The 15,825-nt window shown below is 40.3% G+C and overlaps 1 protein-coding gene across 21 annotated transcripts in view; it reads left to right on the top strand.

The window, feature by feature from the left end:
- The window catches only part of CPVL (carboxypeptidase vitellogenic like), a 200,816-nt gene that overhangs the window by 116,112 nt on the left and 68,879 nt on the right, over positions 1–15,825 (top strand). For 17 of the 21 annotated variants that reach the window (NM_001371258.1, NM_001371256.1, NM_001371266.1 and 14 more), the window contains 4 exons: positions 6,917–7,039; positions 7,436–7,567; positions 13,219–13,317; positions 15,106–15,279. In NM_001371258.1, coding sequence (NP_001358187.1) covers positions 6,917–7,039; positions 7,436–7,567; positions 13,219–13,317; positions 15,106–15,279 — 528 coding nt within the window. Of the gene's footprint in view, positions 1–6,874; positions 7,040–7,435; positions 7,568–13,218; positions 13,318–15,105; positions 15,280–15,825 lie in introns of all 21 variants that reach the window. The other 4 variants (XM_017012366.2, XM_047420531.1, NM_001371264.1 and 1 more) reach the window with 3 other exon arrangements.

The following is a 15,825-nucleotide window of genomic DNA, read 5'->3' as shown; positions in this document are numbered from 1 at the left end:
GTGGTGCAGCCTTGTTCACCAAAATGCTTGTTCACCAAACTGGGTGCTCTCACCTTGAACTTGCACTGTCTCTAGGACCTGCTTCAGATTCACTTTGTGTCTGAAGGGGAGTCAAACATCCCCTTCCATATTTTATGCTGAATCTCTAAGGTTATTAACCTTACACAAACAGAAAAGAAGTTCTCTAGCTTCTTGAATGTCTCTGTCTTTCTGGCCAAGACTGTTTTAATCATAAAGACTTGGCTTTGATCATTAAGTTTTATAGAGTAAGTGGAAGTTTCAAGTGATATAAGGACTTGAAGTCTTTGGAATGCAATTATTTCTCAAGGCTTGGAACTTGCTGAATTTTATTAGATAGCATTCAAGCTGTTTTAACTCTTGAACCTATGACAAATCTCTATTTTCAGTTATGTTCATCTGCACTTGCCAATATTTTCTTTTTGAATTGAAAATGGATTTGTGACTATTTAATGATTTTAATATTACAAAAATCAGGGTTTAAGCTGCAACCGAAGAACTGAACAAGGGCATATGGAAATGTTTGCAAGTTGGATCTCTGGCTTTTGGACAGCATATCCAAATCAAATCGATACATATGTACTGAGGTTGCACAGAAAAGAATATGAGTAAATCAGAAGTCATTATAAGCTTTGTTGGAAATGAATTACCATGCTGGAGCAGGCAGCATAGAGACATAAATAGTACCTGATTAGATGAGATGTTTAGGTTGAGAATGAGAAATGCTAAGTTACATCCATTATGCAGCTTCATCCTTCTGAATTGTATCTACAGTGAGCAAACAAAGATTCAGTTTGTTGACTGCGGCCCAGTGTGTTCAGACTCTTTATTTAAAAGTCAAATTAACTGTAGTCTCCATTTTAAACAAAAGGGTTTATTCATCTCATTGAGTCACCTGGCTTCACGCTGGATTTCTCCAAACTGGCACTGAACTCAGAGTAGGTGGGAAAAGGATGCATCTTGTTCACCTATGCCTGTCAATGATGGCTTTTTCTTTTTTAAGGAGTATCTTCTCAATAGAAAATAAGAATATATCATTTGGGAAGCAGCATGTATTTTTGCATAAGTTTATGTGACTAAAAATTGGCTATAGATCAAAATGTTTTTGCTATATGTCTATGCCTGTAGATTTTGCAAGTTTCTTTTTAAGCCCATATTAAAAAAGAAATAGATACTTTGATAAAGTCATATTCTTGTTGGAAGGCTCTTTTTTTTAATTGCAGCAGTATGGTCTTGAAATTAGATGACGCATGGTCTGGAAATGTCTAGGAAGTTATAGCGATTACCACAACACTGAAATTCCAGCTTTCCTCATTCATTAATTTTCTAAACTGGCCATTTTAAGGCCACACTTCTCTCTTCAGAGAAAATAATGGTACTGAGGAAGTAAGATTCTACCCTAGGCTAGATGAAGCCAAGGTAGGTCGCCCTAGCCTAGTCTTGCCCTCATGGTGCCCATTACACCGAGGTTTTCACCAGGTTTTGTGGCTTTCCTGGGGTGTTCAGTGTGTGTATAAAGTTCTCTGTGAGGCATTGAAGCTGTCTTCTTCCCTCTGGTCTTCTCCCATAAATGGGTGGCAGCTCTATTGTAGTCTGTGCCTGGGATGAGCTGGAGAACAAGGGAATGATATGACTGATTCCAGAAGGGCAGTGCGCCTTGATGCCTTCTGGGGATACAAAGGAGCTCTCACCAGCCCAGTAGTGAATTCTTCAAAGAAGGATTTTTTTTAGTTCTGTGTAGCTGGGGAGAGTGGGGTTCAAGCAGGGCAGGGAGCTTAGAATGACCCTCAGGGTCCTCAGTGTACCATTGCTGAAGTTGACAACTCCCTCTTTCCACCTGCCAGGCAAAGGGTAGGAACTAAGGCCTGTGGATGGTGAAACTTTGTGTCTAAGTTTAGCTGTGTCTCATTTCAAAAGCCATTGCTCATTATCACTGACAAAGTTCTGAATTTTTTCACCATGAAATGTGTACCTAGAAGCAAGGCAGAGAATGAGTGTATAAGTGTATCTATTTTTTTTTTCTACTAAACTTCAGAGAAATGTAGTCAACTGAGAGTAGCTGAAACAATAGTAACTGCTACCATATGTGAAATTTCTGTAAGAGGACATTGTTTCCATTTTAATATTATTCTCTGACACTATTTGTTTTCCTCTGGAGGAGCTGATTGAAGCTGGACTTTAGCTATGAAATCTTTTTCCCTTCCTTGAAAGTAACCAAATGGCAGGTTACAGTAAGTAGGCTGTGAATGTTGTTGAAACATAAAAGAAAAGAGAGATTCACGCAAAAGACACGATTACAGGTTTTCTCTACATCCAATTTCATTGTGTTTTTACACATCTGGATAATTAACCAAACATTGCATTCTCTCTATTTTTACAAGTACAATGTGCTCCTCACGGGATTTCCATTAGGCTGGAAAAAAAAATCGCAAACCAAGATTCAAAACTACTATTCAGCTATGATGTTGAGGCCTTTTTCTCTCCTGGGAGAAATAAAAGATTGAGAGCTGAATTCTGAGATCCTTCTGATGTAGGAGGAGAATTGGAAGTTTATAGCCTCTTTAAGCTCCAGCAAATACAAGCATGTACAAACACACCCTAATACCTCTGGTCCTTCTTGTTGGAGGTGAGCTCGAAATATGGTCACCATGGGAAAAATTAACCAAGTAAGAGCAGTGCTGGAAATCGCAGCTTGAAGCTCCTTTAATTATTAGAAAGGAATAATAAGGGCACCCTAAAAATTCTGATGTGTTGAGTGCTAACCTAGTTTGAATTCTGTTAGATGTGTTATGTTTATCCGGCTGAGCTTCTCATTCGAAGGTCACTGCCAAATCCTAAAATAATATGTGTTCAGTTAGTTTCTGGCCACACTTTTCCTCTTTCTTTTTAAAATTGCTTTGGTATTGCTCTGAGCTTTTATGAGACCAGGGTCTGATCCCATGTTAGGTTAGTGTTAATTCACAGACCTCAGGGGCTTCATTGACCAGCTGCTGCCCACACTGGCGAACACCATGGGGAGGTCAGAGAAGCCACGGGACCAAGAGTTCTGGTTGTTGTTGCTGTTTTCATTAGAACTCAGAACAAAAGAAGCAATAGTTCATAAAATTACAGAATCACTGTTATAAGCCTAAGGGACCATTTAGTTGATTTCTAATCCATAAGGCAGTCACACCTAAATTCTTCTCCTGAAATATGGGGTTCTATAAAATATATACAGGAAAAGGCAAATGAGGTAAAATAAAACACACTTGATTTATTACCTGGTTGTCTTTTGAAGTACTTAATGGCGGTCAGAGAATCATTAAATTGAGAAATAAATGATTCAAGAAGAATAAATGAGTCTGATCTTGCCAAAAAAAAAAAAACTATCTCAACAAGGAGAGTGAAAATAACTGAAATTTTATTACAATATTTCAGTGCCTGTTTTCCATAAAAATAATTCTATAATTGTCTTCTCTGTGACAGCCTGAGTCACTCAACCAATGGAATGATTAATGAAAAAGGCAATGACGGATTTGTCACACTGACACAAAGCAAGGAAGTGTGATAGTCATTAGAAAGTTAAAAAAAAAAAAAAGCTAAGATCATCACTGTGAGGTTGGCAGATGTGGACTGAATATTGAAGAATTTCATTTTGGATATGGTTATAGTACTACTCATCTGTTTTGTTTTTCATAAATGATCAGCTTAGCAAGCTTGGAGTAGATAAACCCAAGATGTAGTTCCACCTTGGGGGACCTCAGACCCGTGGTATATTCCAGGACCATTGACTGTCAGTGATGGCTTTTTTTTTTTTTTTTTTAAGAAGTATCTTCTCAATAGAAAAGATTTCGTTGACTGAAATGCAATTAGATATGACAAAGGGGAGCTGCAGAGACAGCCAAGCCAGGGTAGAATTCCAGCCAGGCATGTGAATGAAATGCACGGGCCCTTGTTTTCATCACTGTAAAATATTGGAAAACAATGTTTATCTTAAATTGGCTTAAAGTAGGTGAGGTAGCCTGGCTCATAGTAATGCTCAAAAACTGAGTGGGTGTTCCTTCTTAATTCCCTGCCTGGATATATCCCAGATACCCAGATACACATGATGGTCACTGGGGGAAAGTGCCACAAAAATGCAGATGTTTCAGCCTACGTTTGTCATGACTACCTACCTAGCAACTTAAAGTACATGCCCTTCCATGTCAGAAAGGGTCAAGAGAGATGTTTTATTACCAGGTCTTATAACAAGAAAATTGGAGTGATAATATCACTGGAAGATAAACTTTTTGGCATTTGTACCAATTTCTGATAGGGGAAAAGTATTTAGAAGTAATGCCAGATAAGTCATTCATTTATCAAGTGTGTTTTTATTTACCTATTTTGTGCTAGGCAATGTATACATTATAGAAATTCTAATCTAAGAAATCGTAAACTTTGCTCTATCATGTGTCAGTCATGGTTTCCATAATATAGTTTTGAAAGAAATTGTGACCTTTATGAGGGCAAGTTTTGTGCTTTATTCATTTTTGTGTCTCCTCAAGTATCTAGTATAATGCCTGTATTAGTTCATTTTCACGCTGCTGTAAAGGTACTACGAGAGAGAGAGAGAGAGAGCATGGGCAGGGGAAACTGGCTCTTTTAAAACCATCAGCTCTCGTGAGAACTCCCTCACTATCATGAGAATAGCATGGGGGAAACTGCCCCCATGATCCAATCACCTCCCACCAGATCCCTTCCTCAACACATAAGGATTACAGTTGGAGATGAGATTTGGTTGGGGACACAGAGGCAAACCATGTCAATGCCTTTGACAGAAGAATTGCCCAATAAACTATCATTGAATAAAGACTATATAACAATACATTTTTACCAGTAAAATGGTTACTCAGGGAAATGTGCTTTTTTGTCATTTTACAGAAATTGTATTTGATAAATGTTCACTTATTGTCACTAACAAGAGAATGTAGCACAGTTAGACAACAAACCAAATTTCAGACATATGAACACACCTTTATATTACACAAGGAAGCTAAAATGTACTTACAAGTATGAATGGATAAATTGCTTTGATTCAATACTTTACCTAAATAATTATTATTGCACAAGAGAGCTGTATCAATGAGGAGTTCTTGGATAAATTACATAAATGATATTGTTTTATCATTGCTTGGAAGGAGTTTAGGTTTTGGAGTCGGTCAGCTCAGGTGTAATTCTGGCTCTACAACTTAACCTCTCTGAGCCTCAGTGTCCTCATCTTGAAATGGGAGTAATGATTATCTTCAGCATATGATTATGGTGTGGATAAAATAAGAGCTTTCAGGGGTTCCCAGCCTTTGAACTACAGACCCCTGGAGGGCCTTGGAGATGCTGTGAAGGGTCTGTGAACTCACAGGTATCCACATAATGTCTCTAGTCTGTTTTGAACATAGATGCATTGCTCTTTTTCAGATGTCTGTAGATTCATTTTAAGATTCATTCATTCAACAACTATTTATTGAGCACTAACAAATATACGCATCAGTCATAGTGGACTCAAGTAAACAAAACAGACAAATGTCCCTGTATTCACGGATCTTATATTCTAGTATGGGTAGGAGAATAACAGTATATAAGATAAGTAAGTAAAAGTTTGTTGGAGAATGATAAGTATTAAGGAAATACTTAGGAAAGAAAAAATATAGGACATTGAGGGAATTTGCCATATGGGGGCCTGTGAGAAGAGCATTCCAGGTGGAGGGAATGGCTGGTCCAAAGGCCTGGCAGACATGTGCCTGGTATGTGCAAGGAATAGCATGGAACCCAATGGGCTGGAAAGGAATGAGCGAGAGGGTGGCAGGGGTTGAGGGTAGAGAAGGGAGCAGATCATGTCAGCCCTTATGCCTTTGCTTTTGGGAAGATGGGAAGTCATTAAAGGATAAGGGCAAAAGAAGGAGGCCAATGAGGAGTCTACTGCAGTCATCCAGGCCAGAGATGATGTGATGGAGAAGGGGTTGTGAGAAGACATTGGACTCTGGACAGATTTTGTTAGAATAGGTAGAGCTGACAAGCTTGGCTGATTGACTTCTGTGGAATACGAGACAAAGAGAGATATAACGAATGGCACCAAGATTGTTGGCCTGAGCAGGGGAGAAACAGAATTAACATGAGATGAAAGGGAGGCTGCCTCAGGGTTGGGGATTGGGAGCTTTATTTTGAACATGTGCAGTTTAATATTAGACATACAAGTGGAGATATCAAGAAGGCAACTTTTGATGGAAAGAATGCAAAATGCAAAATTATTTGAAAAATACTGCTGAGTCAATAGTAGCTCTTCCAGCACAGTCTTAAAGTAGAACCGTTACCATGTTTGTTAGGGGAAATATATCTACAAAATATTCTGACCTTGAAAAAGGACCTTGTGCTGGAAAAGTTTGGAAATAGAGATGAGTTCAAGTGAAAATTTTAGTGGCCAATAAATATTATTTTCCTTTTCTGCTTCTCCTATTCCTTTAGTACATGTTGATTTCAAAATTTGCAGCATTATCAGATTTTGAAATCTTAATTTTAAACTTGAGATTTTTTTCCCTCTAATCTTTGAATAGAGCTTTCTGGTAAGAGATGCCTAACACATGGCAGAATTGTGTTCTCCCAAGTTATTTTATTTTGGAAGGAAATTAGAATGTTCACTTATTACATGTTCACTTGTGATTTTTTGTGCATCGAACCTGTTCATGTCATGTGGTGCTATTTGAGACGACAAAAGAATTGGAAGACAGAGGTTTTTGCTATTATGGAATCTATAATGTGGGGTTAAGAAACAGATGGTATACCTCATGTGGAAAGATTGCTCCTTCATTGTTATTTTAATTAGCTTAAGTACATTTAATTTTACTAGCATCCATTTGTGATTGGCCATTTCAACATCTGTCCTTCTCAGTCTTATGCAGGGAAATATGTGCCAGCCATTGCACACCTCATCCATTCCCTCAACCCTGTGAGAGAGGTGAAGATCAACCTGAACGGAATTGCTATTGGAGATGGATATTCTGATCCCGAATCAGTAGGTTTCTCCTTCTGACTTTCTATTTTGTCTCTTAGGGGGATTAAATGCCTTTTTATCAGATGGAAGGCTCCTCTTAGAGGTCTAACTTTTGATAAGGGAAACACCAGTTGACTTTATGACTTAAATCTCCTAATTTTTACCAAATGTTTCAACGTATCAATTTACTGTGTCAGCTTACATTGGCTGTCAGTGCAAATGTGTGTGTGTTTGTATTGTGTTGTGTTCTGTTGTGTGTGTTGTGGGGTGTATATGTGTGTGTGCATGTAATTATCCTACTTGGCTAACCAGCACAATATTAACAATTACAAAGGATTATTTCACCAAGCAAATGGGCTTCCTTAAGGTCTCTTTCTCTCCCTTTGTCACATTGATGTGTGTCTTTTTTGTCCTCAGATTATAGGGGGCTATGCAGAATTCCTGTACCAAATTGGCTTGTTGGATGAGAAGCAAAAAAAGTACTTCCAGAAGCAGTGCCATGAATGCATAGAACACATCAGGAAGCAGAACTGGTTTGAGGCCTTTGAAGTGAGTTCTGGGGGCCCTGTGCTGCCCTTGAGCAATTAAAACCATCTGGGGAGGGAGGGCGGGTGAGCAGGAACACCTTGGTGCTCAGGCATTTTTTTGTTAAGAAGGTATATCTGTTATTCCATTGGAGATCGGGAGGCGAGTTGAGTGGCCTCATAATGAAGAAAAGGACTGTCTGTGTTCCTTTGAATTTACTTTGGCTATATTTTAAGCCTGAGATCATCTTGGAGTGTTTATCTAACTGTGTCTTTCATTAACCGTTTTGATTTCTTTAAATGCTGTGGAGGCCCTCAAGGCAGACTCTATCATATGGAAATCAGAAGAAAGGCAACCCAGGAAGTAGAGGCATATGCTTCACCATCTGCTCTAAACCATGTAGAAGAGTTTTATATCCACAAACAGGGTTTCAGCTGGGAGAAATGACCACAGTGTGTAACAGATGACATGTGACACACGTGTCAGGAACAAAGATTATAAAGTGTAGTAATTTGAAACTCTTACAAAGGGCCATTGGTATTTGTGCATATCCTTTCATTGCTCCCCTAAAATTAAACTTGAGAATCAATAATTACGTTCTTCACTCTTTTCTTTCTCAGTTATTTAAAATGTAAGAATATACTAAATATTAGGATACAGGAAGTTGGGTTTTTTTTGTTTTTTTTTGCTTTTTTTGCCAATGCAGACAGAGCCATGTGTAAACAATCTCCCTGAGGGGCTTTTTGCCGTATTTACTATACAGCCATCATGTTTGACATGGTAGTAAATGAGGCAAGGTCTGAATTTCGAGGGCTTTAATTTGTTTGTTATTAGACACATATTCTGTAACAGTATATCTAATGTCGTTATTGTTATTAAAGCAGAAATCTGATATTAAGTCTTAAGGGCATTGCAGATCAGCCAGTTCAGATCAAAATAGGAGACATGCAACCTTGGAGAAAAGGGTAGAGGATAATACAAAGTTATTTTTCATTTTACAAGTAGGGTGTTGGGACACTATCAGAAATCCCCCAAGGCAGTGACCGCCCTTGCCGTGAATTCTGATAGCAGCTAGCTGTGCAAATGGATGGAGCAAAGGGAGTCCTGAGCCATCCTACAGAGCTCCACCAGGCTCTCCTTTCTCTGTGTCAGGACACTAAATGTGGCTGCAAAGTGTGGATTCAGAATTTCTTATGCAATTGTAAACACAAAGGAAGAGGGGTCTCCTGGGGCACATGTAGGATCATGCTTCCACTTGCAATGACAGTATTTTCAAGGCTTTCTGCTGTGGTAGTCACAGAGGGGACGAAGGAGTGAAACTTCAGTATTTAGAATTAATACCAAATTTTATGTGGCATGAGACCAATTTGCAATTGAAACATTTGATATGTTTTTAAAGAAGCACACAGGATAAAGCAATTGTCAAGAGCAAGAGCATTTGAGAGGCCCATATTTAGAAAAAAAGCAGAAAGATGACTGGTACATAATGCAGCAGGCTAAACACCTACAGGATTAGTGAAGCTGTAGAAAAGTTCAGGTGTGTTGTGTATTCAGAGATAATGAGAACATGACCCACGAGGTGAGAATCTCTCCCAAACCGGATACGTCAGAAACCGGAACCCCAAGCAGGTAAAACGTTTGAAGGCTTGGAATGTCTTTTTGACCATTGGTCCCGTATCTTGAGTGATGAATTAAAACAAGACCTTTGCTTTTTCAAGGAAAATAGATAAAATGATACTTAGGACAGTAAACAACTTGTGGTTGAAATGTGTTTCAGTGACTGCAAAGGAAGACTCCAACAAATCCTGAAACCCAGGGGAATATAAATGTCAGAATCTCAAGCCTAAAATGATAAAGCCTGTTTGACGCTCTGATCCTTTAAAATGATTTAATTAATCAAAGAGTAGTAACTCAGAGCTGGAGAGTACTCTGGAGATAGGTCATCTACTGTCCCTATGCATTTACATGCACACACACACACACACACACACACACACACACACACACACACACACACACACACACATTTACTGGTGAGTGGAGAGGATGCCGAGCCCCAGGGGATAGCAATGAATTGCCGAAGGATACACAAATAGATTGTGGCAGGCTGAGGACTGGAATTGCTTCCCCCATTTCCACCACAGTATTTATCCTATGGTAATTTTCAGGCATTCTGTAAAAATCCTGGATCGTCTTAGATATTCTGCAAGATGTGAAATGACTGATCCTCTGTCCAGTATTACCTCCCTTTCCATGATGATTTTCTGAATCACAAAGTTCTTAGTTTCACAGGTCTTGACCACCCATGTTATTTTTTGACAACAACTGACTTTTTCTTTTTTTTTTTTTTTTTTTTGAGACGGAGTCTCGCTCTCTTGCCCAGGCTGGAGTGCAGTGGCAAGATCTCAGCTCACTGCAACCTCCACCTCCCAGGTTCAAGCCATTCTCCTGCCTCAGCCTCCCGAGTAGCTGGGATTACAGGCACTCGCCACCACGAATGGCTAATTTTTCTTATTTTTAGTAGAGACGGGTTTTCACCGTGTTGGCTGGGCTGGTCTCAAACTCCGGACCTCAAGTGATCCGCCCGCCTCGGCCTTCCAAAGTGCTGGGATTACAGCTGTGAGCCACCATGCCTGGCCAACAAATGACTTTTAACTCTTTCTAAAAGCAAAGTTATTCTTCAAGGTTGACTTTATATTCCCACTGGTGTTGAAGATAATTTCTAACAATGAGTTCCAAAAATGATGTGTGCATTCAGAATGACCCTGGCCTATGGTGCCCCATCTGGGTGAACAAATTAGAAAAAGACACCTCGGCCGGGCGCAGTGGCTCACGCCTGTAATCCCAGCACTTTGGGAGGCCGAGGCGGGCGGATCACGAGGTCAGGAGATCGAGACCACGGTGAAACCCCGTCTCTACTAAAAATACAAAAAAGTTAGCCGGGCGTAGTGGCGGGCGCCTGTAGTCCCAGCTACTCGGGAGGCTGAGGCAGGAGAATGGCGTGAACCCAGGAGGCGGAGCTTGCAGTGAGCCAAGATCGCGCCACTGCACTCCAGCCTGGGTGACAGAGCGAGACTCCATCTCAAAAAAAAAAAAAACAAAGAAAAAAAAAAAGAAAAAGACACCTCCTCTGTGGTGATGCAGTCCTGTGGGTTCAGGACGGGGCAGGCAGATGCCTCCATTGTGTGAGGATAAGAGGTGGCCACTTCTCCAGATGCAGCCCTGAGCCAGGCTCTCCAGCTCAGCGAGCAGAACTTTGGCTGGTTCCCTGTCCCTTTGCACCCCTTAGCCACAGGCATCGCATGGAGCTGCACAACCAGATGTGGGGCCCTGAGCAATGGTAGCATTGGTAGAGAATACTTACTACCACCTCCACCCACACCGCCTTCTATGGTGATAACCCTTTTCATTCTTGGCCTCTAGCCCCATGGCAATAGGAACTTGAATAAGTTCTTTCATGTTTGAAAAAGAATATGAATACAGGCCGGGGGCGGTGGCTTACACCTGTAATCCCAGCACTTTAGGAGGCCGAGGTGGGCAGATCACAAGGTCAGGAGTTCGAGACCAGCCTGATCAACATGGTGAAACCCCGTCTCTATTAAAAATACACACACACAAAAAAAAATTAGCTGGGCGTGGTGGCAGGCGCCTTTAATCTCAGGTACTCGGGAGGCTGAGGCAGGAGAATTGCTTGAATCCGGGAGGCAGAAGTTGCAGTGAGCTGAGATCTCACCACTGCACTCCAGCCTGAGTGACAGTGCGAGACTCCATCTCAAAAAAAAAAAAAAAGAATATGAATATAATAATTAGTCTATTTTCTCAAGCATTGAAGCATGGCCAGAAGGAATTGGCAAGTAGGAAGCATTGCAGGCTGACTGCTGGGAGCCAGTGTGTGCGTGGTTGAGTGTGCAGGCTCAGGAGTCGTGGCCTAATCATCTCATCTCTGACATTATTAGTGAGGTGTCCTCGGCAAGTTGCTTAAACTCATGTGTCTCAGTTTTCTCACCCATAAAATTAGAATAATAATACCTTATCTGATAAGAGACCTAAATTTGTACTTGATAGATTGTTTTTAACATGTGCTGACTTCATTTCTTTGAATTCTTTTGTAAGAACTCCTTACAACTTAATATCATCATCAACAACCCCCCTCCATGTCTTCAACCTCTTCTGTGACTATTTTCTTCTCTTCATCTTCTTGCTTTGCCAGAAACCTGGCTCTCCCCTGATGCTGCAGTCCCTGTGGTCCTCTTGAGTGGGGGCTGTTCTCTCTCTTAGCTTGTCTGTATCACTTGGTTCATAGGTGGAGTAGGTGTCTTCCTTGCTCATCATGTGACTTTCAGATCATGTTCCCTGCCTCCTCCTAAAGCATTGAGCTTTGACTCTCCTGTCCTCAGACAGGGCCTCTGACCACTTCCAACTGTGTCTGCCTACCAACCCCTGGTTACTCCCTCTCATTTGAATAGCTGAGCTCCTTCCTCCCTGTCACTCTCTGCAGCATTATTCTTGTCATAATTCCTGGTAACTGCAGGATCCACATTGACGATCCTTTTGGGACCTGGTCCTTGGTGCCTCAGCCTCCTCTTTTTCAATGATCTTGTTCTCCTCCTCATCTTAGCTGCTGATTCTCATACCCTAAAATGCTGGCAGCTGATCCACAATCACACATTCAAACATCTTTCTCCAACTACCACCTCCTGTCCGAATCTCTTCTGCTAATGTACTGATCTTACAGCCCTGCAACCTCACTACCTTTCAATCCATTGATCCTCCTGCCTCTCCACTATCTCTAACCCCCTCAAGTCTCCATTTCTCTAATTACCTGTCTTCAACCCAGGGTCAGTCATTCCATACATTTCCAAGCCCAAAGCTCTTTTGCATTTCTTCCAACTCCTTTGGCTGAACCACAGCCCTGGCTCAATCTGCCTCTCTGTCAGGCTGTGCTTGTCTCCACACAGCTGACAATGGCTGGAGGAAAGCATGCAACCATGCTGACTGCTCTCCCGCTCAGCTGGTGACTGGGTTTTTTAATGTCAGCCCAAAGATAACTTCCACCAGCTCCAGGAACCTGCATCTGCACCATATCCTGCGTCTTCTCTCCATGTCATCTGGTGAGCAGTTCATGATCCATGTTAAGGCACCCTTCCCACAAGGCTTACTCCCATAGGCAAGGCCTTTGAGCTTACTGTGTCCTCTGCCTGGAACCTTCCTTCCCCTAGATGTCTGCATGGCTCTATTCCTCTCATCCAATATGTCTTTACTCAAATGCCACCTTCTAAGTGAGGTCCTCTGTGACCTCCTCTCTACATTGTCCCATACACACATGCACACACATGACACTTCCTACTCCTCTTTAGTTTTCTCCTTGTCATTCCCTAACATACTCAAGAGTTTATCACTGTCTACCATATGATATAATTTACTTAGAAATGCTTGTTGTCCCCCACCAGAATAAAAGCTCCATGGGGGAGGACCATTGGTCTGTTTTGTTGATGGCCATTTCTCCAGTGCCATGACAGTGTCTAGCACAGAGAATATGCACAATAAGTGGGCGCTGGATGAAACAATAAAGGAATGAAAAAGTTGTTGAATAAATGAAATGACAAATGTCTGTACATTTTTATCCACACTGATGTTTTCTTTCTTTCTTTCTTTCTCCCTCTCTCCCAACCTAGATACTGGATAAACTACTAGATGGCGACTTAACAAGTGATCCTTCTTACTTCCAGAATGTTACAGGATGTAGTAATTACTATAACTTTTTGCGGTGCACGGTAATGACATTTTAAAAACCATAATAATGTTTGCTTAAAACTTTTGGCAAAACCGAACTTCCTTTGATTTGGGAAATATTATAGATGACTTTATACTAGACCAACATGTCCAAACTGTACCGCGTGATGTGGTCTACTAACCCATAGAATCTTTTCCTCATCAGTGTTGTATACGTTATAATCTGACCACTGAGAATGTGTGATATTTCAGATAACTCAAAACAACTTCTGATGAACATGATTTCCCCCAAGTAGAGCTTGTTATAGAGGCACTTTTGTGAAGGACACAGGCTGGGATTGGAGTTCTGGGTCTCAGGTCCCAGAGCTTCAAGTCTGTTTACGAGTCTCTTGAAAATGCCCACATTCTTTGTTCTGTACTTAAGACGCTTGGATAATCAAAACTGCCAAAGCCTTAATGAAAATATTTGCTTTGTCTTACTTTTAAGATGTTTAATGCATTTAGTATGGCCCTCACTTCAAGCCTTCTGGAATATTTCTCAAAGTATTCAAGTAGTTTGTTTCATAAAAGTAGGCCAAAGTTGATATCTTTTGTGTAGAATTAGTCAAACAGAAGGAGCCAAAGTAGGTGTTTGAATTTGTATAATCTTTGTCTAATGCTTATGACAATGCATTCTGTTTTTAAAATTGCCTGATTTATGAACTAGTTTGTAAATAAAGTATAACGTTAGTTTCAGTGGAATTCGCCAATGCTGCAGTTTTGGATTTAGATTCTACTAAGAGAAAAACATGTGGTAGACAAGACAGAAACAAAATTTGTGATGATACCTTTTTTTCTTTACAACAATATATTCACAGTTAGTAAAAATTGTTGATGAAGCACAAAGTTGTCAAACTCAAACTTTAACAGTTTTTTTAATCCTTGTGTAACTGTTTTTTTTTTAAAGCATTTACTCCTTTCTTTCAGTATAATGATTATTACAGAGACTTTATTGCAGTTTTTTTTTTAATAAGCTTCATGGACAACTTTTCTTCTGTCTTGTGTCCTTCATAAAGTATCATCTCTTTTCACATTTGACATATTTTCCCCTTTATTATAGTCAATCCAATTTTGTGTGTGTGTGCGGTTTTTTTTATTTTTTAATTTTATTATTATTATACTTTAAGTTTTAGGGTACATGTGCACAACGTGCAGGTTTGTTACATATGTATACACATGGACACAGGATGGGGAACATCACACACCGGGGACTGTTGTGGGGTGGGGGTAGGGGGGAGGGATAGCATTAGGAGATATACCTGATGCTAAATGACGAGTTAATAAGTGCAGCACACCAACATGGCACATGTATACATGTGTGTGGTTTTAATAAACAGCAGAACACAGAAAAGAAATTCTTAGCTTTAAATCCAGCACACCACCAACCTGGCCCTTGTGATCCATTTGACCTTCTTTCCAAAGAGCCACCAACAAGGAGTGAATTGATTTTGATAATCTCATCTCTTTTGTTTTCTCTCTCTTTGCCTCTAGTGGGGTTGCTAATGGGAGTCACAGATTGCAAAAGATTAGTTTCTGCAAAGGAAAATCCTGTATTTGCAAATTGGGTATTTTAAGAGTATTTTAAGGGTATTTCAGATTTCTAATTAGTAAAAAGATTCCACCTAAATTATCTCAAAACCTCCGAGTTAAAATTTCAAGAATGGCGACAAGTTAATAGTCCCGTCACGTTTCTCCATGTTGTATGTTATGAGAAATTCACAGCTTTTCCCAACATACTGTTCCTGCCACCAATCATGTTCCCTATGTCTTTCCAATGCCCCTTCTGCCAGGAACCTGAGGATCAGCTTTACTATGTGAAATTTTTGTCACTCCCAGAGGTGAGACAAGCCATCCACGTGGGGAATCAGACTTTTAATGATGGAACTATAGTTGAAAAGTACTTGCGAGAAGATACAGTACAGTCAGTTAAGCCATGGTTAACTGAAATCATGAATAATTATAAGGTAAGAGAGCTACTTCAGTTACTATTTTAGGAACTTTCAGATTACCCAGAGCAGAAGTGATTTGTAATTTGAGTCCTGCCTTTTTTTTTTTTTTAACTTTTATGATGTGTCATTAGCATAAATAACAGCCCCTTTCTTTGTTTGATTCCAATTCAAAGTTTTATATTGTTCCTTTTAATTTAACCACTTTTGCCGTTGTGGTGACTTATACCTGTAATCCCAGTGCTTTGGGAGCCTGAGGCGGGTGGATCACCTGAGGTCAAGATTTTGAGACCAGCCTGGCCAACATGGTGAAACCTTCTCTCTACTAAAAAATACAAAAACTAGCTGGACATGGTGGCGGGTGCCTGTAATCCCAGCTACTTGGGAGGTTGAGGCGTGAGAATCACTTGAACCCGGGAGGCAGAGGTTGCAGTGAGCCAAGATCGCAACATTGCACTCCAGCCTGGGCAACAGAGCAAAAACTCTGTCTCAAAAAAATAAAAATAAAATAAAATAATTTAACCACTTTCCCCTGATTATTCCTTAAAATGAAATTCCCTTTGG

The sequence above is a fragment of the Homo sapiens genome, chromosome 7 (genome assembly GCF_000001405.40).
Source record: "Homo sapiens chromosome 7, GRCh38.p14 Primary Assembly".
Lineage (NCBI taxonomy): Eukaryota > Metazoa > Chordata > Mammalia > Primates > Hominidae > Homo > Homo sapiens.
Note: the sequence above shows the minus strand (reverse complement) of the source record. Positions and strands in the feature narration are given on the sequence as shown.